Source organism: Homo sapiens, chromosome 1 (genome assembly GCF_000001405.40).
Source record: "Homo sapiens chromosome 1, GRCh38.p14 Primary Assembly".
Classification (NCBI taxonomy): Eukaryota; Metazoa; Chordata; class Mammalia; order Primates; family Hominidae; genus Homo; species Homo sapiens.
Genome location: NC_000001.11, coordinates 180,806,970 through 180,833,011, shown reverse-complemented (window position 1 = coordinate 180,833,011; position 26,042 = coordinate 180,806,970). Strand labels below are relative to the sequence as shown.

The 26,042-nt window shown below is 36.3% G+C and overlaps 1 protein-coding gene across 4 annotated transcripts in view; it reads right to left on the bottom strand.

Annotated features, from left to right (window-relative positions):
* Positions 1-26,042, bottom strand: part of XPR1 (xenotropic and polytropic retrovirus receptor 1) — a 258,258-nt gene that overhangs the window by 57,268 nt on the left and 174,948 nt on the right. For all 4 annotated transcript variants that reach the window (NR_137330.2, NM_004736.4, NM_001135669.2 and 1 more), the window contains exons 7-9: positions 21,524-21,605; positions 8,069-8,259; positions 7,668-7,847 (exon numbers count right to left, since the gene is read on the bottom strand). Coding sequence is in view for 3 of the 4 variants with exons in the window: in NM_004736.4 (NP_004727.2) it covers positions 7,668-7,847; positions 8,069-8,259; positions 21,524-21,605 (453 nt within the window). In the remaining variant the exon portion in view is untranslated. The remainder of the gene's footprint in view (positions 1-7,667; positions 7,848-8,068; positions 8,260-21,523; positions 21,606-26,042) is intronic.

The window sequence follows — 26,042 nt, the reverse complement described above, 5'->3', positions numbered from 1 at the left end:
AATGGGAAAACACTCATGCTCATGGATAGGAAGAATCAATATTGTGAAAATGCCATACTGCCCAAAGTAATTTATAGATTCAATGCTATCCCTATCAAACTGCCATTGATTTTCTTCACAGAATTGTAAAAAACTACTTCAAACTTCGTATGGAACCAAAAAAGAGCCCACATAGCCAAGACAATCCTAAGCAAAAAGAACAAAGCTGGAGGCATCATGCTACCTGACTTCAAACTATACTACAAGGCTACAGTAACCAAAACAGCATGTATTGGAACAGAACAGAGGCCTCAGAAATAACACCACACCGTCCACAACCATTTGATCTTTGATGAACCTGACAAAAACAGGCAATGGGGAAAGGATTCCCTATTTAATAAATGGTGTTGGAAAAACTGGGTAGCCTATGCAGAAAGCTGAAACTGGATCCCTTCCTTACACCTTACACAAAAATTAACTCAAGATGGATTAAAGATTTAAACATAAGACCTAAAACCATAAAAACTCTAGAAGAAAATCTAGGCAATACCATTCAAGACATAGGCATGAGCAAAGACTTCATGACTGAAACACCAAAAGCAATGGCAACAAAAGCCAAAATTGACAAATGGGATCTAATTAAATTAAAGAGCTTCTGCACAGCAAAAGAAGCTATCAGCAGAGTGAACAGGCAACCTATAGAATGGGAGAAAACTTTTGCAATCTATCCATCTGATGAAGGGCTAATATCCAGAATCTACAAAGAACTTAAACAAATTTACAAGAAAAAAAAACCATCAAAAAGTGGGTGAAGGATATGAACAGACATTTCTCAAAAGAAGACATTTATGCAGCCAACACACTTATGAAAGAATGCTCATCATTACTGGTCATTAGTGAAATGCAAATCAAACCACAATGAGATACCATCTCACACCAGTTAGAATGGCAATCATTAAAAACTCAGGAAACAACAGATGCTGGAGAGGATGTGGAGAAACACTAATGCTTTTACACTGTTGGTGGGAGTATAAATTAGTTCAACCATTGTGGAATACAGTGTGGCGATTCCTCAAGGATCTAGAACCAGAAATACCATTTGAACCAGCAATCCCATTACTGGGTATACACCCAAAGGATTATAAATCATGCTACTATAAAGACACATGCACATGTATGTTTACTGTGGCACTGTTCACAATAGCAAAGATTTGGAACCAACCCAAACGCCCAACAATGATAGACTGGATAAAGAAAATATGGCACATATACACCATGGAATACTATGCAGCCATAAAAAAGGATGAGTTCATGTCCTTTGCAGGGACATGGATGAAGCTGGAAAGCATCATTCTCAGCAAACTAACACACAAACACAAAACCAAACACCGCATGTTCTCACTCATAAGTGGGAGTTTAGCAAAGAGAACATATGGACATGGGGAGGGGAACATCACACACTGGGGCATGTTGGGGGGTGGGGGGCAGGGGGAGGGATAACATTAGGAGAAATACCTAATGTAGATGATGGGTTGATGGGTGCTGCAAACCACCATGGCACATGTATACCTATGTAACAAACCTGCATGTTCTGCACATGTACCCCAGAACTTAAAGTATATATAAAAAAAAGAAATTCACCCATGTTATCAAAAAAAAAAAAAAAAAAAGAAAAAGAAAAGAAAATAGAAAGCAAAGAGGTGGGAAGAGTTGAATTTGAAAGCACAGAGCAGCAAAAGATAGAAGCACTGAGAGGCTCTAAAGTTAGGAAGTTTTGCTGGAGAGGCAAGTGCTATAATTTCTAGACTGTTCTCCATCTTAGCTAACTGAATACAAAACTCTTCTTTGCTTACAGAGGATAAGTAGGAAAGGATGGTACTCCATCTGAGGCATGCCTCATTATCTAACCAAAGCCACTTTCTTTTCACTAATGACATGGTAATGACTGTGTACATCTTGAAATTATACCACAAAAATCAGCCCTCTTCCCACTGTTCTGAACACATGATAAATGTATTAAATGTATTGGGCAGTAACTCATGCAGTGTATTTTCCTCAAGGCTTTATGCAAGCATTAACTCATCTTCATAACAATTCCATGAGCTAGGAACTATTCATATCCCCATTTTACAGAAGACCGACACAGACTCTTCCTAACATATTCTGTGGAAGCCTGTTTATCACTACAAAGGGAAATCTTGGCATTGCAGAGAAGGGAAGTAGGTACCAATGCAATTACCAGAAATAGGCTCAAATTGTGCAGATTGTCTTGATAAGCGCTGTGTGAAGTGAAGATGGGATGAAGGAAGCCTTAATCCTCATCCTAAAGGACCCCTTTCTATCTTATACAGTAGGAAATGTGACTCCTGAAAGAAGAAATTCTGAGTAAGTAGAAGTTTTGAGAAAATGAATCTAATCTCTAGCTCTGATTATCTAGTTATATTCATTTCATAGACATATTCTACTTGGGAATCTGTAACTCTCTTCTCAGACTTGGCTGGATCTGTCTTCTGTTTCTCTAAATATTTATTTTTATTATGTCAGGGAGATAAATGGTCACATTATGACTCAATCCTGGATGTCAACTACCTATGACGGGTACTTTCTTGGAGCTTTGGAAGCTAGACCAGGTGTCTGTGGGACATCATACAGGCTTTGAGACATTATTTTCTGGTGCTGATATACTTTCATTCCATGGCTCAGTCTCTTAACCACTCTCATAATCTTTCCATGAGTCCAACAAACCAGAGAGACAATCTATACCATTTGCAACCATAAGCGCCCGATAAAGCAAACTTTTTGTGAGGAAGAGGGGGACTGTAGGATGGTAGTCATCTATGCACGAAGAAGCTCTGGCACCAGTTTCTGTAATATTTTAAGAAACTCTAGTGTGCAGAATGGACTTAAAGGATTCAAAGTGACAGAAATATAGAATAATTTAGGATATAACACCAAAAGATCAGGAAGTCTAAATCCATCTCTAATCATGAACTATTATGAAACTGGTAGCCTAGGACAAATTTCTTTATAACTGACATGAGACAGACTATCATTACTCTCATACTCTGCCAACCCCATCCTCAAAACCTGGCTAATTCAGAAAATCTCCATAAGAGCAGAAGAGGGAGATAATGCATTAAATAAGGAAAAAAGGGATGGTGGGATGGGACTGAAAAAGGATAGGACTGACATGAAAATTTAAAAAAAAAACTGGGAAGAAGGGAAAATTTACAAAAAGAGAAAATGAAAAAAGGAAGAAAGAAGGGAGTAGTAAATGTTATATAATACAACCAATGAAGGGAAGAATATAATTACAGTCATTCATGTATTTAACAAAGACTTATCAAGTATTTATTAAATGTCAGGCACTGCGGCTTACAGGCCTTAATGATCCACAGTCTAGTTGGGCAAATAAATACATAAAGGTATAATTATAGCACCATATTATAGAGATACACACAAAATACCCTGGAAATACAGAGAAAAGAAGAAGTCACTCTGTCAGAGGCCGGGTGAGAGGGAGAGCATAAACATCATACTCAACTCACTGACATTTACACACAGTCAAATTCATTCTAGATTTATCTGATATCGCCTTCTGGGAGAGAATTCTGTAACTCACTCCTCCTTCTCTTCTTAATCTGGATAAGGCCTTTCAACTTCTCCACTTCTACCCTGTGATTTTGATTAAAGTGACAATTCCTAGAGTAACAGTATTATGAAAGCCAGAGACAATTCTGGATAGCTGATATTTTACCACCTACACAAAAAAGCCACTAAATTATTACAAAGAACATGTTAACATCCTCTTTTAAGTTAATACTGATAAATAGCTAAGAAGATGAAGTTTTAATTTCTACTTTTCATGGAGTGCAGTGGTACAATTTCAGCTCATTGCAACCTCAACCTGCTGGACTCAAGCGATCCTCCTCCCTCAGCCTCCCAAGTAACTGGGGCTACAGATGCGTGCCACCATGCCCCACTAATTTTTCATTTTTTGTAGAGAAAGGGTTTTGCCACGTTGCCCAGGCTGGTCTCGAACTCCTGGGCTTAAGCGATCCTCCCACCTCCGCCTCTCAAAGTGCTAGGATTACAGGCATGAGCTACTGTGCCTGGCCTCAAATTTGATTTTTATATTCTACTAGTTTGATCCACTAGATCAAAGTTAAACATCTAACATAAGTGACTAATAGGGCTAAGTGTTAAATGTTAGTGTTTAAGAGTACAGATTATAAACGACTGCCTGGGTTCATAACTCATCTTCATCACTTCACTGGCTATGTGACCTTAGGCAAGTTAATTAACTTCTCTGAATGTAGGTTTCTTCATTTATAAAATAGGGATTAATAGCAGCTCCAACTTGTGGGTTATTTTTAAAATTAAAATACATAAAGTAGTTACTAAATGACAACACCTCTCTATTCTTATAATAGAAATGTGTAAAATTTTTACTATAGAACTAAAGAGACTGTTGGTAAAAACTGATGTCTAAATTATGTAACAAAGGACTATAATTTAAAATTTTTAATTAGCTTACTTTTAATATAGTGAGTTAAAATTTATATTTTTGTTTAGAAAATCTGAGGCACTGTTTATGCTACCTAATTAGATTTCTGATTGAGGTAAATATAGATTTAAGGAGAGAAAGTATAACCTAATGGATGTAAATAATCTATACTAATTTGACATACAATATTCATATCAAAATAAATCAATTTCTTATAAATTTTTTTAGCTTTGTTTTTAGGAGCATAGCATATATCAATTCCATAGATTCCAATATAAATATGGATATAAATGGCACCCAGTGCCTACCATTATGACCTATGTGCTTTTCTCACTAAAAATTAAAGAAAAGGATGGGTGTGGTGGCTCACACTTGTAATCCCAGCACTTTGGGAGGCAAGGCAGGCAGATGACTTGAGCCCAGGAATTCGAGACCAGCTGGGCAACATGGCAAAACCCCATCTCTACCAAAAATACAAAAAATTGGCCAGGCACGTTGGCACACACCTGTGGTCCTAACTACTGGAGAGGTTGAGGTGGGAGGATCACTTGAACCTGGGAGGTGGAGGTTGCAGTGAGCTGAGATCACGCCACTGCACTTCAGCCTGGGCAATAGAGCCAGACCCTGTCTCAAAAAAAAAAAAAATTAAAGAAAAAAAGAAAGAAATGTACTTTTACTTTAGGATGAAGCTTTTAAAAAGCGGTATCAGAAAAACATAACTAGAGTGAACACATTCTTGTTAATTCACTAGGAATCAGTCTAAGGGTAAGTTTTCCCAGTGAGATTTAAATTAAAATAAGTCAGCAGGTCAATTAATACTAAAATTATCTACAAATGATAACACTGTTCTGTTTATAACAGTTACTACAAAAACAACAAACCACAAATATAGAAGGAAATTATTCCTTCTATATTTCAGTGTATCTGATAGTACATTTTATTATTCTATTACTGCTTATACCATTGTCAACCTATTCCATCAACAAGTCCTCATTTATTAGCAAAAACACAGCAGATGCACAAATAAATATCTACTCAATGGGCAATCATTCTGCTAATAGGAGTAACTAGTCATGCATGAATCACAGCTTGCTATTTAAACAAAGGATACACTGGGGAAATGCCCACTTAGCACACAATGTACACAACTATATTATCCTGTTACTGTAATTACGTAATCATAGTAAAACCTGAGTTTTCTGAATCTTCCAAAGTCTCATTTAAAAATAATTTTATGGCCAGGCACAGTGGCTCATGCCTGTAATCCCAGCACTTTGGGAGGCCAAGGCGGGAGGAACACTTGAAGCCAGGAGGTTTGAGACAAGCCTGGGCAACAAAGGAGACCCCCTTTTTTTTTTTTTTTTTTTTTTTTGAGAAGGAGTCTCACTCTGTCGTCCAGGCTGGAGTGCAGCAGCACCATCTTGGCTCACTGCAACTTCCACTTCCTGGGTTCAAGCGATTCTCCTGCCTCAGCCTCCTGAGTAGCTGGGATTACAGGCACGTGCCACCTCACTCGGCTAATTTTTATATTTTTGGTAGAGATGGGGTTTTGCCATGTTAGCCAGGCTGGTCTTGAACTCCGGACTTCAGGTGATCCACCCACCTCGGCCTCCCAAAGTGCTGGGACGACAGGCGTGAGCCACTGCACCTGGTTCTACAGTTTTTCTTAATAGAAAGCCATATTTTATGTCTTCAGATTAAAAAAAAATTGTTATGTTTGGCTAAGAACAAAAAAACCTTTGCTAACATAAGGGGCATACAAAAGAAAAACAATAGGAACTGCAGTTTTCAAGGACGTATACTTATAAAGTGAAAAAGAGGTGAGAAAATAGAGCAATTCTGAAAGTTTTTATAGAGATTGGTCAATTTAATCACTAATCTTTATTGTTAGCTGTAATTCATAACCTAAGAAATAATCATATGAAAGTTTTCTCAATTGATTTACTTTCTTTGTTTCTTTCTTTGTTTTTTCCTTTAGAGATAGGGTCTCAGTCTGTTGCCCAGGCTGGGAGTGTAGCGGCACTAACATGGTTCACTGCAGCTTTGACGTTCCTGGCTCAAGCAATCCTCTCACCTGAGCGTCACAAGTATCTGGGACTACAGGTGTGCACCATCACACCCAGCTAATTTTTTAATTTTTGTAAACAGGGTTTACACCATGTTGCCCAGGCTGGTCTGAAACTCCTGGGCTCAAGGGATCCACTCACCTCAGCCTCCCGAATACTGGGATTATAGGCATGAGCGACTGTACCTGGCCTCAAATGATTTTCAAAAAGAGCTGGCTCAATTTACAAGTAAACAGAAGTCCCCTTCCGGAGTTATCTTTACAGAAGAAAGCTTTACAGTTTTGCAGGAAATTTTATTTCACTGCTGAGGCTAAATGATTTTGAGATCATTAAGAGACAGGTAAAGTGGAAGAAAAAAAGAACTTATTATAAACAAGAATCAAAGTCAATTTTTCTTTTTCTTTTTTTTGAGATGGAGTTTTGCTCTTGTTGCCCAGGCTGGAATGCAATGGCACAATCGCGGCTCACTGCAACTTCCACCTCTGGGGTTCTAGCGATTCTCCTGCCTCAGCCTCCCTAGTAGCTAGGATTACAGGCATGGGCCACCACCCCCAGCTAATTTTGTATTTTTAGTAGAGACGGGGTTTCACCATGTTGGTCAGGCTGGTCTCAAACTCCTGACCTCAGATGATCCACCCGCCTTGGCTTCCTAAAGTGCTAGGATTACAGGCGTGAGCCACCGCGCCCAGCCCAAAGTCAATTTTTCAAATTAAACTTGATAATCTGGTAAGATATTCCTACTGCTTTTAGAGAACAAATCTTTCCTAAAATAAAATGTTCGGTTGATACTCACATCAACTTAACAGGAAAATAATTCTTTTACCACATTTTTTTGGGGGAAGGAAACTTACAAAGTTCTACATCTTATCACAGCTAGTTAAACGAAGTAAAAAATGTTTATAATTTACAAAATCATCTCAATATTTGGCCACCTGATACTCGATCTCAGGAGGAAAATATACGTGAGTACTTTTTCCCAGGGCCTCCACTCACATAAACTATAATGTGAACCACGGCCTCTGCAGTTGTACAACCTAGCAGCCTTGGTTTTATCTTAGAGGAAGTCAATAACCAATATGCCACTCTAAAAGTGGTACACAAGTTTCTGGACTTACCAGCAGTTTAAGCAGCCAAAACCGGGATTTATAGTAGAAAGTTTTGGTGGGGTTGATAAGGAAGAAAACCATAAATCCATAAAGGGCAAGTGGATACACATATGTGGGGATGACACTAATTGGAGCAAAGAAGCATGCCAGAAGGCTCAGGCACCACAATATCCCGAGGAATCCAGCAATCTAGTAAAGGATGGGGAAGACAGAAAGATAGAGAAAAATTGTTATTTTTACTTTTACCATTACTTAAAATATCTTTAATAAAACAAAAGTAAGAAACATGATTAGTTATTAAGCTAATAATCCTCTTCAAGTAGAGGATGGATTTAAGTACCCACTAAACCAGATAGCTATATAGCTAATGCAAACTATATTCATGAGGTGTTATGTCTTGCTTTGATTACCTCAAAGAGATGTTGATGAGACAAATTGCTTCTCGGATTAAGTTCAAAGATGAGTACATGGTTTACTCCAGCCTGTCTCCAACCATACGTGTTGATGCCCAGTAGAAAAAGGAATTCAATCAGAAGAAAGCCACCCCGATAGATTCTTATCAAGGGCCATATACTTCTATCTGTTTCAAGTTTAAATACAGCTGAAAGAATATTAAGATATTGGTCAGTTATAAAATTCATAACTTCCCTTGAATTAATAATCTTTTGTCTTCATTCTCAATGATATAGCCCTGGCATAGAAATTTTTCATAAATAAAACCTAAACCTAGATTATCTATCATCTATCTATCTATCTATCTACCTATTTATTTTTTTGAGACAGTCTCACCCTGTTGCCAGGCTGGAGTGCAATGGCGTGATCTCGGCTCACTGCAACCTCCGACTCCCTGGTTCAAGCGATTCTCCTGCCTCAGTCTCCCGAGTAACTGGGATTACAGGCACGCACCACCACGCCCAGCTAATTGTTGTATTTTTAGTACAGACAGGGTTTCACCATGTTGGCCAGGATTGTCTTCATCTCCTGACCTCGTGATCCACCCACCTTGGCCTCCCAAAGTGTTGGGATTACAGGCATGAACCACCCCGCCTGGCCAAACCTAGATTATTTTAAGAGCCTTAAAAAGTCGCCTGTGGGTTCTTTCTCGTCTTCATTTTACTCTGCAGAATGTCACTAGAATAATTTCCCAAAACTTGACTTTCAGCATGTCATCCCATTGTTCTATTAGTTTTTTAGATTACAAAGAATCATGGTGAAGTGGCTTAGAATCATGTGATCAGTTCTGTCATTTGGGGATCCGGCATGACAAAACCTCTCTTTGGCTTCATTTACTCCATTATTAAACTGGATATAGTAATATCTACCTCACAGAGTTGCCATGAAAATGAGAAGGAACAGTACACATGAAAGTAGTGTGAAAATTTAAATGTCATATAAATGACAACAGTTAATATTTACGGAATGCTTACTATGTGCTAAGCACTGTTCTCAGTATTTTTACATAGAATAATTGGTAATTCATTTAACCATCACAATGGCTCTTTGAGTTAAAAACCATTATCTCCATTTGATTAGGAAACTAGAGCACAGAGAGGTTGTCATTTGCTTAGTTACTGACCTAAGCTAGAATTTGAACCCAGTTTTGCTCCAAAGTTCATACTCTTAAGCACTACATTCTATTGCCCATTATGTCCACACAAATGTTCAATATCATTATTCTATGGCTCGCCAGTAATTATAATGTTCAAATACTTTAGATACCTTAGCCTCACAATTCAAATTCTTCATAATCTAATCACCAACTCACTTTTCCCAAACTTATCTCGCAGCACCCCTAAAATATTAACTCTTGACTCGTGATGAATTTTATTATCCTTTTAATAAGTTTGTTTTTCACATTTACTTATGTTGTTCCCTCTACTTAAAATGGCCTTGTTCTTTCTCTCCACTAATTCAAATTCTACTTACTATTTAAGAGACAGATCCTGGATCCTTACCTGTTCATAAATTCACTGAATCAACATATTTCGTTTTAAGCCCACTGTATGAGAAACACTTCCATTTGGTCTAATGATTTTCCAAATAACTATAAAATTTATTGACAGTACTGCTCATTTGGAATTTAATTACATACAAACTTTTGTTTTTTTTTTTTGAGATGGAGTCTTGCTCTGTCGCTCAGACTGGAGTGCAGTGGTGTCATCTTGGCTCACTGCAACCTCTGCCTCCCGCGTTCAAGCGATTCTCCTGCCTCAGCCTCCTGAGTGGCTGGGATTACAGATGCGTGACGCCACACCCAGCTAATTTTTTGTATTTTTAGTAGAGACGGGGTTTCATCATGTTGGCCAGGCTGGTCTGGAACTCCTGACCTCAGGTGATCTGCCCTCCTCGGCCTCCCAAAGTGCTGGGATTACAGGAGTGAGCCACCATGCCCAGCCTATATACTAATTTATATACTTAAATAACCATTTATTGTTTACCTTTGTATTCTCTGTAGTATATAGAAGATTTAATAATTTTAAAATAACACGGTAGAGAAAGCCTTTGCTTTGGAATCAAGTACTACAGACCAGATTTCAAATCCTAGCGATGCCAAATTATTTATTTTTTTTTAAAGTCTCTGTTTCTTTGTTGATCAATGGGGATAATATCTATTCTCATAAGTTTATTAAGAAGATTAAATGTGAACAACATATATCAAATGCCTAGAATAACGTTTGGCTCATTATGAGTATTCAGTATATATTAGTTTCTTTTTCCTTTTACTTGAGGAAACTTTATTCCTTCATTTGACAAGTATTGATTAGGTGCCTATTACACCTGACACCATTCTAAGAGCTAGCAATTCAGTGATGAACAACGGACAAAATACCTATCTTCAGGAAATTTCTGTTCTGCATAAAGTCAGATAAGGGGTTTGAAGGAAAACTACAGTAAGGAGATAAAGAATGATGTTAGGTGTTATTTTAGGTAGGGCGGTCAGGGAAGACTCTCAGGAGATGACACTTAAGGAGATGACCTTAAGGAAATAGAGAACAAAGCATTGGGATGTTTGGGGGAAGACGGCTCCTTGTAGAGAGGGAAAGTACAAAGGGCCTTAAGATAGATTGCTCTAGGAAGAAAGCCAAGTTACTATGATTGGAACAAACAAAGGTATAGTGGTAAAGAACTGGTCAGCAGTAGATCAGACAGAGCTCTTCAGTACTTTGTCAAGACTTAAGCTTTTACTCTGATGTACAAGCCTGTAGAAGGTTTTGTACATACACGGCATGACCTCATGAATTATTTTAAAGGGCTACTCTAGCTGTTAAGTGAACAGACTACAAGGGAACAAGTACAAAGGCAAGATTAGTTAGGAAGTTATAAATGGAAAATGATATATAGTTTTACATCCTGATTCCTAAGCAAAGACCACAGATGCATTACAACAGTCAGGAAACAAAAATAACACAAATCCCAAAGAATCCACAATAAAACTACTAGAATTAGTAAATTCATCACAGTTGTAGAGTACAAGATCAACACACAAAATTCACTTGTGTTTGCATACATCGGCAATGAGCAATCTGAAAATGAAATTAAGAAAATAATTCTAACTACAATAGCATTCAAAAGAATAAAACATCTAGAAATAACTTTTACCAAGTAAGTGAAAGACCTGTATACTACAAACTCAAAACACTGCTGAAAGAAATTAAAGTAGAAAAGAATCCTGTGTTCATGGATTTAAAGATTTAATATTGTTAAGACGGCAATACTACCCAAAGCAATCTACAGATTTAATGCAATCCCTATCAAAATTCCAATGGCTTTTTTTCAGAACTGAAAAAGTCAATCCTTAAATTCATATGGAATTCCAAGAGGTCCCAAATAGCTAAAACAATAATGAAAAAAGAACAAAGTTAGGGACTCATACTTTGTCATTTTAAAACTTACTACAAAGCTATAGTAATCAAAACATTGTGGCACTGGTATGAAAACAGACATATAGATGAATGGAATAGCACTGAGAATCCAGAGATAAACCTATACATCGATGGCTGATTGATTTTCAACATGAGTGCCAACACCATTCAGTGGAAAAGAATATTCTCTTCAACAGCTTAGTCCTGTGACAACTGGATATTCACATGCAAAAAAGTGAAGTTGGTCCCTTGTCTCACAGCATACACAAAGATTAATTCAAAACTCATTGATGACTTCAATATAGGAATTCAAACCATAAAACTCCAAAGAAAACATAATGATAAATCTTCATGACCTTGAATTTGGCAATAGATTCTTAGGTATCACAACAAAAGTACATGAAACAAAAGGAAAAACAGATAAATGAGACTTCATCAAAATTTAAAACATCAGTAGACATTATCAAGAAAGTAAAAAAAAAAAGGGAGGAATATTTGCAAATCATTTATCTAATATAAGGGTCTAGTATCTAGAACACATGAAGAACTCTTACAACTTAACAATGGAACAATGAACAACCCAATTAAAATAGGGCTAAGAACCTGGATAGACATTTGTCCAAAATATATATATAAATGGCCAATGAGCACATGAAAAGATGCTTAATATAATTAGTCATTAGGGAAATGCAAATTAAAACCACAATGAGATACCACTTCACGCCCATTTGTATGGATATAATGAAGAAAACAAAAACATAGAAAACAAGTGTTGGCAAGGATGTGCAGAAAACAGAATCCTCATAAACTGCTAGTAGGAATGGAAAATGGTAAAGCCTCTGTGAAAAACAGTTTGGTGGCTCCTCAGAAAATTAAACAGGTACTAAACAAATCCATGTTTATGCATGTTCCTAACAGTACCATTCACAATAGCCAAAAGATAGAAATAACCCAAATGTCCATCAATGAATGAATGGATAAACAAATTGTGATACATACACAAAATGGAATATTACTCAGCCATAAAAAGAATGAAGTACTGATACATGCTACAACATGGATGAACCTTGAAAACATTACGCCAACTAAAAGAAGCCAAACACAAAATACCACATATTGTATGACACCATTTATGGACATACCCAGAATAGGAACATTCATAGAGACAGAAGGCAGATTAGTGGTTGCCAGCAGCTGAGGAGAGGGAATGGAGAGTGGGGTTTCCTTTTGGGCTGATGAAAATGTCTGGGAACTAGATAGACGTGGTGGTTGTACAACACTGTGAATGTACTTGAATGCCACTGAGTTATTAACTTTAAAATGAAATTTATTTTATGTTATGTGAACTTCACCTCAATTAAAAAAAACAGAAAAGGAAAAAAGTAATAAATATATCTTAAGATGTCATTACTAATTTCTATGTTAGGTATGTGTGTATGTGTGTGTATATATATATAATTTTTTTTTTTTTGAGACAGAGTCTTGCTCTGTTGCCCAGGCTGGAGTGCAATGGCATGATCCTGGCTCACTGCACCCTCCCCCTCCTGGGTCCAAGTGATTCTCCTGCCTCAGCCTCCCAAGTACCTGGGATTACAGGCACACACCACCACACCCAGGGAATTTTTTTGTAATTTTAGTAGAGACGGGGTTTTGCCATGTTGCCTAGGCTGGTCTCGAACTCCTGAGCTCAGGCAATCCACCCGCCTTGGCCTCCCAAAGTGCTAGGATTACAGGCATGAGCCACCGCGCCCGGCCTAGGCATATATTTTGAACTGTTTTAGTAGTGGTGGTGATAGATTTGCTCTAATATATCAAAATTTTCTAATTCTGTCTAGTTAATATCTGTGGCCATACATAAAAGAAAGCGAAATAGCCTGCTTAGGGTTCAAATATTCATGACCCTAGCAACAGTAGTATTCTGTCCTACATAGGAAGAAAATTGCCATGAACAGAAAATGTAATCCATATTTATAAAATCTAAACACATATTTACCTAAGTTCTACTTGATAACATAGGAACTAGAAAATCTCTAAGGCTTTCAGTAAATATGATCTGAATAAAATATCCTTGAACTCCACAATTTGTTAGAAAAGTCAGCGAAAACCAAAACAGCAGCAACAACAACAAAAACCCCAAGGACCTCTGTAAAACAATAAATGCTAAAGATATATTCTTCTGAATGAAAATACTATATTTAAGCTAATGAACTTATTTACTTTCAAAATGGTTCAAAAAACAGGGACCAGGCATGGTGGCTCCTGTAATCCCAGTGTTTTGGGAGGCCAAAGTGGGAGGATCACTGGAGGCAAAGAGTTCAAGACCAGCCTAGGCGATATAGTGAGACTCTGTCTCTACAAAAAAGTTAAAAAATTAGCCAGGCATGGTGCTACTCCATACTTGTATTCCTGGCTACTCAAGAGTCTGAGGCAGGAGGATCGCCTGAGCCCAGGAGGTCTAGGCTGTAGTGAGCTAGGATGGGGCCACTGTACTCCAGCCTGGGCAACAGAGAGAGACCCTGTCTCTGAAGGAAAAAAAAAGTTTCAAAAAGCAAAAGGCAATTTTAACTGTTAATAGTCAAGTTATTCATCAAAGATCCAAAACTTTCAATTGCACATAAATCTAAAACCTAAGGGCATATATAAGCAATACAATGAAACCTCCTTCATTTGGCATGATCTCCCTGAAGCAAACTTTTGTAGATTTACTGGGATTAAACCACAATACTCTTGCTAGACAAGATCATCATAAAAAATTCCAGGGAATCAAAAAACAAATTAGTATCATTTTTAAGAATAAGTATATCATCTCTCTGATCCATGAGTCCCAAAAATAAAAGATATATAAGGTCCCATCACAAACTTCCCATGGCTTCATGAATTTTTAACTTAAAAATCAGCTAACAATCATTAAGCATTTATTTTGGGGTAAGCAATATACTCAATGTTTTTCATGCATAATTTCATTAGTTCTCACAGCAACACTATAAATTGGTTTTTCTCAGCAGATACATGAAGAAACTAAGGCTTACTCAAAATAGGTTCCTTGCCCAGGATCACAAGGATGTAATAACCCTACAATCTGGCTCCAAAGCCTGCACACTTAACAATGGGGCTAGGTTGTGTTAGTAAGCAAATATGTACCTGTTTAAAAAAAAAAAAAAAACCCAAACAGAAGTTTGTTCTAAAACTTACAAAATTACAGTCCTCTCTGTATTAAGTTGCCAACTCACTTTTCTTTAAAGGAACATTAAAAAAATTTTAACAAGTAATGTATGTGTATAGGAAAAGAACCACAAATATTATAAAGAATATGAGAAGCCTCGTCTCACTCCAGATCTTCTGAAGAAAACCATGCTAACAATTTGTCTATTATCTTTCAAGAATTTCTTGATGCATAGAGAAACACATACTATTTTTTAAAAAACAAATCACCAATTACAACTGGGAGCATGCTATATATGCTATTCCAGGCCTTTTTTTTTTTTCACTTATATCCTGGAGTGGAGATTTTCCAGTATCAGTGCACAAAGATCTCACTCATTTTCTAATGTAAACTTTTTGAATTTAAGTGTTACATACATATAGAAAAATGGATAAATCATAAGTATACAACATGATGAAAAATGAAGTGAATCAGCACCCAGAACACAGCATATTACAAGCATCCTAGAAGTTCCGGCTCATATTCTTTCCAATTGCTATCCATTCCCCAAGGGTAAACTCCTGATTTTTGCCTGTTTTTTGAACTCCATGTAAATGGAATCATGTAATATGTATTCTTTGTGTCTGGCTTGTTTTGTTTAACATTTGTGAGAGCCATCATGTTCTTGTATGTAGCTACAGTTTGTTATTCTCATTACTTACAGTTATGTGAGCCTATTGCTCCTAGGCTATAAACCTGTCCACCATGTTACTGTACAGAATACTGTAGGCAATTGTAACACAATGGTAGTATTTGTCTCTAAACATCTCTAAACATAGAAAAGACACAGTAAAAATACATTATAAAAGATAAAAAATGGTACACCTGTATAGGGTACTTACAATGAATGGAGCTATAGGACTGGAAGTTGCTCTGGGTGAGTCAGTGAGTGAGTGGTGAGTAAATGTGAAGACCTAGGACATTACACTATTGCGGACTTTATACACATTGTACACTTAGGCTACACTGAATTTATAAAAAAATTTTTTTCTTTCTTCAATAATAAATTAACCTTAGCTCACTGTAACTTTTTAACTTTATAAACTTAAAAAATTTTTAAACCTTTTTAACTCTTTTGTAATAATACCTAGCCTAAAACATGGACATACTGTATAACAATATAGACGTATTTTTTCTTTATATCCTTATTCTATAAACTTTTTTCTATTTTTACATTTTTTAATTTTTATTTTTACTTTTTAAACCTTCTTAAAAACTAAGGCATTAACACACATATTAGCCTAGGCCTACACATGATCAGAATCACCAATATCACTGTCTTCCACCTCCACATCTTCTCCCACTGGAAGGTCTTCGGGGCAATAACACACAGGGAGCTGTCATCTCCTATTCTATTAATGCCTTCTTCTGGAACACCTCCCGAAGGACCTGCCTGAGGCTGTTTTACAATTAACTCTTTTATTAATAAGTAGGAGGAGTTCACTCTAAAATAATAAATAGTATAGCATATACATAAATCAGTAAGTCATTTATTATCATGATCAAGTATTATGTACATGAATTTTAAGTGCTAAACTTTTATATGGCTGGCAGTGCAATATGTTTGTTTATACCAACACTGCCACAAGCATCTAAATAATGTGTTATGCTATGATGGCTATGCCGTCCATTATGCAACAGCAATTTTTCAGTTCCATTATAATCTTATGGGACTGCCTTCATATCTGCAGTCTGCTGCTGACCAAGACATTGTTACATGGTACATGACTGGATACTATTACAAACAATATTACTTAAGTGTTCTCATACATGTCTTTTGGTGGACATATGTAAGCATTTCTATTAGAACTGGGTCATAGGTTAGTACAGGGGTTTCCAATCTCCAGGCCATGGACCAGTACTGGTCCGTGCTCTGTCAGGAACCAGGCCACACAGCAGGAGGTGAGCGGCTGGTGAGAGAGCATTACTTCCTGAGCTCCGCCTCCTGTCAGATCAACGGCATTAGATTCTCAGAGGAGAACGAACCCTATTGTGAGCTGCGCATGGGAGGGATCTCTAGGTTGCGCGCTCCTTATGAGAATCTAACTAATGCCTGATGATCGGAGGTGGAAGGGTTTCACCTTGAAACCATCCCCTCTCCTACCCGCCAGCCCAGTGAAAAAATTGTCTTCCACAAAACTGATTCCTGTTGCCAAAAAGTTCTCCAAAGTGCTGTGTCCATTTTCACTCCCACCATTACCTCATTCATCTTAATATCTCCATGGTATTCCACTGTACAGAGGTAATATAATTTAAAGAGCTATCAATTTATGAATATTTGAGTGGTTTCTAGGATTTTTCTACTATAAACAAAATGGCAATGACTATCCTCCTAGCATACATGTCTTTGCAACCATGTACAAGTATGTTTGTAGGATAAATTTCTAGAAACAAAACGGCTTAATCAACATAATTTTGCCTAAAATTTTTACACACACTGCCAAATTATCCTCCAAAGAGATAGCAACAATGAGTACTCTTACCACTAGTGTACCAGAGCCTATTTCACACCTTATACCCACTGTAAATGGCCAAACCAGTAAGTGAAATATGGTATACTGTTATTGTACCAAATTAAGTTATATATGTTAGTAGGAACCTGCAAAAGAAACAAGTTTGAAAAAAAAATCTAAACAGTCAACTTTTCATCTTAATGAAATTAATTATCTGAAACACGTGATTTTCAGAGAAATTATTAAATACTAGGTCATGTCCCCTTGAAAAACCACAGCAATTATGCACATTTTTTAATGTGAATGTTTGAAAAAAAGAATCGTGCTTGTACATGCATACTACGACTGTGTTTCTCTTTGACTCTCAACACTGTTATCTTTTAAGCACCCGCTGGAAGATAAATAAGGATAGACAGCTGGCTTTAACTATATTTACCCTCCCCCTACAACATACACAAAGATCAAACAAAGAAGGGTTCTGAAGTGAGAAAACATAATGCGTAACACTAAATGCATACACAGCACACATAAAAAACAAATCAGAATGTCTTACAAAAACATAGTCTGTATATACTAAACAAAAAAACCCTCAAATTGTAGCAATTAATTCACATAAAAAGAATGGAAAAATGTATTTTTTATGTCTTTTTTTAATGATGATAATACCACCATGCTCATCTTGAAAATTAAACAAAAAAATTGCACCCACTAATGACTAAGGCATTTTCTATAGAAAGAACAACCCCCACCATATATACCTTATATTGACATAGCACTTTGCAACTACAAACATGTTTTACTTACACTTCTTATCTGATCCCTATGAGCTGGCCTCAAGCTATCTTTTCACCCTTATCATCTAATATTCTCCTTCACCTTTGGCCAATTTATCACTTCTCTCCTTCATAACTCACTCCCTCCTTCTACACTCCATCCCCACCCCAGGCCAACTAAATCTCTTTGCTCAACTGTCTCCTTCTCTCGAAATGGCTTTGATTCCACCAATGTCTAGCATAAACGTTATTTCTTCCATGAAGTATTCCCTGATGCTCTCATTTAAAAGTAATCAGTTGTCTCTTTGAACCGCTTAGAAAATTTAACACCTTCTATCTTGCAGTATATTGCTTTAATATATGCCTTAATCTCCCTGGCATAATACATTTCATAAGGAAAGGGATTCTCTTATTTATCTTAAGACTTGTAGGCATCAAGCATAACCCTTAGACACATAAAATTTACTTGCTGAATGAATGAATGAACCCTAAACAACCCTGCAAATTTAAGGTGTTAAGCTCATTTAACAGATGAGGAAACTGTTTGAGAGAAGTTAAATGATGTCCTTAAAGCCAAAACAACTAACAGTGGAGCTGAAACTGAAACCCATGCAGGCCTTTTGTTCTCTCCACTACAGCTAGCTTGATAACATAGATCTGAGTTTTTAAATTGTATTATTTTCATGTATTCTATGTAAGTAAACTGTATTCACCTAAGGAAATAGAACCAGATTAAAATATGATTATAAATTATAGCAACACTACATCATAAACTCAGGATTGACCATAACTATTAGAGTTGATTTTTAGTAACTGGTAGGAAGAAGAACTCTAACAATACAAATGAAAACACACTGTTAATAGGTAAAATTCATATGTTCTCTAAAAGCCATTACAATGTAGGTTATCATTTCATAATATACAATTGATAGTCTTAAGCAGAATGTTTATGAGGAATAATTAGTTCAGTAAATTATCTCTCGAACATCTACTATAAACTTGACAATGTGTTGGGAACTTAAAATGCAACAATACATAGTCCCTGCAATCAAGAATAGTTAAGTATGACAGTGACATAAAGCTTCCTTATTTGGGCATTATTATGATTACTAAAAGTCTGAAATGGAATATTATGGATATTCAAATAATGACATCTATTTTTAAATCATACAGGTTGATGCAAAAGTAATTGCAGTTTTGCCATTAAAAGTAATGGCAACTTTTGCACCAGCCTAATATTTCTTTGCAGACTTCACTGAACAAAATTTAGCCCTTTATTAATGATTCAGTTATTATTATGAGCACAATTACATAGACCCTTAGGTATACCAAGGTTATCTGTCCTTAAAAGTCCTTGACTATAAGAAGCTTTGAGATTTGTGTCTGTTTTTCTGCTGTTTGTGCATGTGTTTTCTAAATATCATTTAATTTCATCTTTCTCCTTCTCTTCCAGCCAAACTTCCCCAATACTTTTCAAGCCCCTACTATGGTCTAAGCAGTGTTCTACGTGCTAGAGATACAAGAGAGACAAATGCCCAGGCATCAAGAAAATTTATATTCCAGTGGAAAAAGAGATCACAAGAAATATAAATATATAATATATAATGTCAGGTAAGTATATGTACTCAGAAGAAAACTAACGTAGGCTAAAGGGACAGAATAGATTATTTTAGGGTTGGGTGATCAGGGAACGCTTTACTAAGAATGTAGCATTTGAATACAGACAAGTGATGAAATAAGCTAGGTAGACATCTTGGGGAAGAGCTCTTTAGGCAACTGCAGAGGCTCTTAGATTAGAATGAGCTTGATGCATCTAAGAAGTACTAACACAAGTGTGGTCGGAAACAAAGTGAAGCTAAGTGTGGGGGGAAGATGACAATATAATATCGGAAAGGCCCACAGAGGTGAGATCCTGTAAGTTCTTGCAGGCAATGGCAAGGAGTTTGGATTTTATTTTAAGAGTAGCCATGAATGAATTTTGAATAGGAGAGTGACATGATCTAACTTCCATTGGGGGGGGGGAAAAAAGACACTAGTAGCTATAAGGAGGCAAGAGTAGATGCAAGGAGACCGAGTCCAGAAGGCTGCTATACACTAAACAAGAAATGGCTGCTGGCCGGGCGCGGTGGCTCATGCCTGTAAACCCCAGCACTTTGGGAGGCTGAGGTGGGTGGATCACGAGGTCAGGAGTTCAAGACCAGTCTGGCCAACATAGTGAAACCTCATCTCTACTAAAAATACAAAAAATTAGCCAGGTGTGGTGGTGTGTGCCTGTAATCCCAGCTATTCAGGAGGCTGAGGCAGGAAAATCGTGTGAACCCAGGAGGCAGAGGTTGCAGTGAGCCGAGATCGGACCACTGCACCCCAGACCTGGCGACAGTGTGAGACCCCGTGTCAAAAAAAAAAAAAAAAAGAAATGGCTGCTTAGACAAGAGTGGCACTGGCCAAGGTGGTGAGAAGTAAATACATTTAGAACATGGTTTGAAGACAGACCAATAAGATTTGCTGATGGACTGAAGATTAAATATGAGGGACAAGAGAAACTAAAAGATTTTGGACTGAGAAATGGATGAAAGGTGATGCCAGATAGAAGAGCATATTTGGGGGTAAAAATCAAGGTATCTTTTGTCTGTGTAAGTTTGAGATATCTACTAGACAAATCCAACTAGCCAAGTAGACATCTTTCAGAAGAGAGAACATATATTTGGGAGTCATTAGCATATAGACGGTATTTATAGCCATAGTCTTGAATAAGATTGCCTAGATAGGAAACAAATATAGACAGAGGAGATTGAAGGATTGAGCCCAGCACTATACCCTAACATTTTGATGTCACAAAGAAAAGTATAGCTAGCAAAGGAGACTGGGAACAAACTGCCAGTAAAATTTAACAGGAAAACCAGCAGAGTGTGGTTTCTCCAGAAAAAACAATCAAAGTGTTTCAAGAAGTGGTGACTGATAATGTCAAATGCTACTGTGGGGTGTGTCAAATTCTTTGGGGAGATTTAGTAAGATTATGCTTCCTTTGCTGTTATATCATTTTTTGATGTTGTGAGTGCAGCTGCTCCTAGGAATCCTTCCTATCTCTTTCTAATTGTTTTTACTTCTATAGAATAGGAAATTATACAACCAAGCTTCTTAACACTATATGCAAAGTAATTGTAAATAGATTCTGAAAAGGATGCGAGAGGGTCTCCAATAAGCAAAGTGAAAGAGCTTTGTGAATGAGTTTTGTAACATTATTTATCCTCATCTATGATCAAGAAAGCCAAGGTTTTTGATAAATAAACTCTGAAAAATTATATAGAAGTTATATACAGAAACTGGAAAATGATGAAGAAAAAGAAGTCATACATGAGCAATGTTTTAGAGAATAACCATACCCAAATGGGGAAAAAACGCCAACAAAACAAACAACTAAAAAAAACCACATTTATAAGGACAAAAAACTTAGCCCTGATAGATTTATCTTTCAGTAGCTTTGGTAGTTGCATGCATAATTCCTTACAGAGGGGCAGAATATGACACAGGCATATTGGTAAGAATAAATTAATTCAAAATTTAAACTACTTACCGGCAAGCACAAGGGTAATATTCAGTACAATGAATATTCCACAAAATAGGCCAACTCTAAAAGTAGTCCATGCTGGTGCAGGCTGTGGACAGAAAAATAGTATTTGAGTACAGGACAAAACACTGATTGTATTTACTATATGCTGTAATAAAATAGTAGAATGAGTCTCAAAGTTCTACCATGAAAATAATATTTAATGTTCTAAATTTTTATAAATCTGAACCAGAGAATCAACCTTCATCATCCTATAATACTATTCAAGTTGCCAATTAATCAAGCTTTTTTTTATAGAAATCTGTGTCATGAAATAAGCAAGATTATAATCTTAGGCATTAAATTATAGTATGTGGATTCTACACTCGAGGAATCAACCGTGTATTGAAAATATTCAGGAACAAAAACCAGTAAAAAATAACAAAACAAGAAAAAGTAATACAAATAAAAGCACTGAGTATTAACAACTATTTATACAGCATTTACATTGTATTAGGTTTTATAAGTAACCCAGAGATCATTTAAAGTATTTAAGAGGATGTGTACAGGTTATATGCAATAGTATGCCATTTTATAAGGGACTTGAGCATCCACGGATTTTGCTATCCACAGGATCCTGGAACCAATCTCCAACAGATACTAAGGAACGACTATATATATACACACATATATATACATATATATACACATATATACATATATACACATATATATATACATATGAGTTTTGTAAATAGGAGAGAGTTAAGATGCAATTTCATTTTTACAATGAAATTGTAAATTTTTAAAGTCAGTATTACTCAGAGTTTGCACATTTGGTACAACAGATAAAATTAGAGACGATGACGGAGACAAGAACGCTTACTTTCTGATAGTACTTACATTATTATACTGAGGTAGCATTTTTTTTTTTTCTGAGACATGGTCTCGTCCTATCGCCTAGGCTGGAGCGCAGGGGTGTGATCACAGCTTACTGAAGCCTCAACTTCCCAGACTCAAGTGATTCCCCACTTCAGCCTCCAGAGTAGCTGGGACTACTGTGTGTGCCACCATGCCCAGCTAAGTTTTGTATTTTTTGTAGAGATGAGGTTTCACTGTTTTGCCCAGGCTGGTCTTGAACTCCTGGGCTCAGGCAATCCACTTGCCTTGGCCTCCCAAAGTGCTGGGATTACAGGTGTAAGCCACAGTGTGCAGCCCATACTGGGGTAATTTAAAGTAAATTTTTCAGGATATACGAGAGGTTCTTAAGAGACTGATATATCCAAATCTCCCGTGTATGTAGGCTCAAAAATATTATCTATTATAATTTAATTTTATATTTAGAAAGCGATTTTTGAAACTTCTGCTTTCTAAAATAAATATGTAATAGCAAGTGCCTAAGATTGTAAAGTGATGAGAAACACAGAGAGAGATAATCTTATAGACTTAAATATTTGCTGTGAATGTTATAAAATTTTTTGTTGTTAGAGATGATAGTACATTTCAGGTATTTTGTTTTCTAAAAACCTTCAAAAACAAAGCATTGAGACTCCCCTCTGTCTTATTATTACTTAATAGAGTAACAGATTCTAACTGTATTGTTAGTTTCTGACTGAAAGCATCCAAAAGATGGTCATTTGTCTTTTCCAAAGATAAAAAGTTACCTTTAGTTTCAAAAATTGTTTAATTTATCATATATACAAAAGAATGCATATAATTTATTTGGACTGTTAGAAATGAATAATAAAGTGAATCTATAACTACTATCCATATTTAGAAGCTGAACATTTCCATTAACTTTGAATTCCCTATTCCTCCCTGATCCCAAAACCTTCCCTCCGCACCAGAGATAACCACTTCCACATTTTCTTTAGCTTTACCATCTCTACAGGCATTCTTAAACACCCTAATTTTTTGAAACTAATTTTAAAATGTTTATTCAAAAACAACTGACATAAAAAAATTGCACATACTTAAAGTATAGAATTTGTGTCTTTTCTCTCTGGATGCTTTTAAGATTCTTCTCTTTATTTCCAAGCAGTTTGACAATAATATGCTTAGGATTTTTAAAAACTGCTTTACTGACTAAGTTGATATACAATAAACTGTATATATTTAAGGTGTACGATTTGATAAGTTTTGAAACTGCATAAACGTCTACAAAACCATCAGCATAATCAAGACAAAGAACATATCCACGACTCCCAAGAATTTCCCATGTGTCTTTGTAATCCTTTCCTCCCAGCCTACCCTACCCCACTCTATTCACAAGCAACCACTGATCTCCTTTCTGTCACTATTTATTAGTTTGCATTTTTTCTGGAGTCTTAGGTTAATGATATCATATAGTAGGTACCTTTTTTTTCTGCTTTCTCTCCACATAATTAATTTGAGGTTTATCCACATTGTTACATTTATCAATCAGTTATTCCTTTTTATTGCTAAGTAGTGTTTCATTGTATGGATATACCACAAATTGTTTATCCATTCACCTACTGATAGACATTTGGGTTGTTTAGATGCTATGAACATTTGTGTAGAAATCTTTATATGAACATATATTTGCACTTGTCTTGGGTAAATACCTAGGAGTGTAATAGCTAGACCATATGGCAGGTGTACACTTTTAAGAAACTTCCAAACTGTTTTCAAATGTGCTTATTCATTATACATTTTATATTCCACCAAAGCATATTAGAAAAGAGAGTTCCTACTCCTCCATCATTAGTATGATTAGTCTTTTTTAATCATTCTAACAGACAATGTATTATCTTACCGTGGTTTTAATTGGCATTTCCATAATGCCTAATGATATTGAGCATTTTATCACATGCTAATTTGCCACCTGTACATCTGTGAAGAACTGTTCAGGTCTTTTGCCCATTTTTAAAAGTTGGGTTGATTGTTTTCCTTCTATTGAGTATTGGAGTTCTTTATATATTCTAAATATAAGACCTTTAACAGATATGTTTTATAAATATTTTCTGCTAGTCTCTTGCTTTTCTTTTCATTCTCTTAATATGTCTTTTGAAGAGCATACGTTTTTTAATTTTGATGAGGTGCTTTTGGTGTCATTTCTAAGAAATCTTTGCATAACCCAAAGTCATTAGGACTTTCTTCTATATTTTCTTCTAGAAATTTGTAGTTTCCAGTTTTCATTTAGATCTATGGTACATTTAGAACTGTATGTTGTGAAGTATGGATGAAAGCTCATTTTTTTTTTTTTTTGGTATATGGAATTCAACTGTTTCAGCATCCTTAGTTGAAAATGCTACCCTTCTCCACTAATCTGCTTTATATCTTTATCAAATATCTGTTGTTCGTAATATGTTAGTCTATTTTTGGACACTCTATTCTGGTCCATTGATCATTTGCCTACCATGACACTATTACCACACTCTCTTGATTACTGCAGCTTTAATAAGCTTTCATAAGGTAATGTTAATCCTTCAATTTATGTTCCAAAGTTGCTTTGGCTATTCTAGGTCCTCTGCCTTTCCATATACTTTTCTTTTTTTGGAGACAGAGTCTTGCTCTGTCACTCAGTGCAGTGGCGCGATCTCGGCTCACTGCAACCTCCACCTCCTGGGTTCAAGTGATTCTTGTGCTTCAGCCTCTCAAGTAGCTGGGATTACAGGCATGTGCCACGAAGCCCAGCTAATTTTTGTATTTTAGTCGAGATGGGGTTTCATCATGTTGGCCAGGCTGGTCTTGAACTCCTGGCCTCAAGTGATCCACCTGCCTCAGCCTCCCAAATTTCTGGGATTACAGGCATGAGCCATCGTGCCTGGCCTCCATATAAATTTTTAAATCTGCTTATCAATTTTACAAAGAAGTCTTCTGAGATTTCTGAGCTGGAACGTATTATATCTATAAATCACCTCAGGAAGAAACAACGTATCTTTAAAATACTGGGTGTGTGCAATATACCCATGAACATAGCATCTCTCTCATCCAAGTCTTTAATTTTGCTCAGCAGTGTTTTGTAGTTTTCAATGTAAAGGCCTTACACATCTTTTGTCAGAATTATTACTAAGCATTGTATATTTTGATGATATTATAAACAGCATTGCTTTAACATTTTTTGATTTCCAATTGTTCTTGCAAGTATCTAGACAAATGATTTTACATATTGGTCTTGTATTTGGCAACCTTGCTAAACTCATTTGTTAGTTATAGTAGCTATTCTATAGATTCACTAGATTTTCTACATAGATCATCAAGTCACTGGCAAAACCCCACTGGTTTTACTTCTTCGTTTCTACCCTGAATGTCTTTTATTTCTTTTTCTTCCCTTACCGCACTGGCTATAATCTCCAGCACAATGTTGAATACAGGTGTTAAAAGTGAATACCCTTTTTTGGGCCAAGTCTTAGGGAGAAAGCATGCAGTGTTTACCATTGAGTATGATAATAATTGTAGAGGTTTTATTTTTTTTTTAATAGATGCCTTTCATTAGGCTATGGAAGCTCTGTTATTGATTTCTATTCCACTGTTGTCTGAAAATATACTTTGCATGACTTAAATCCTTCTATATTTATTGAGA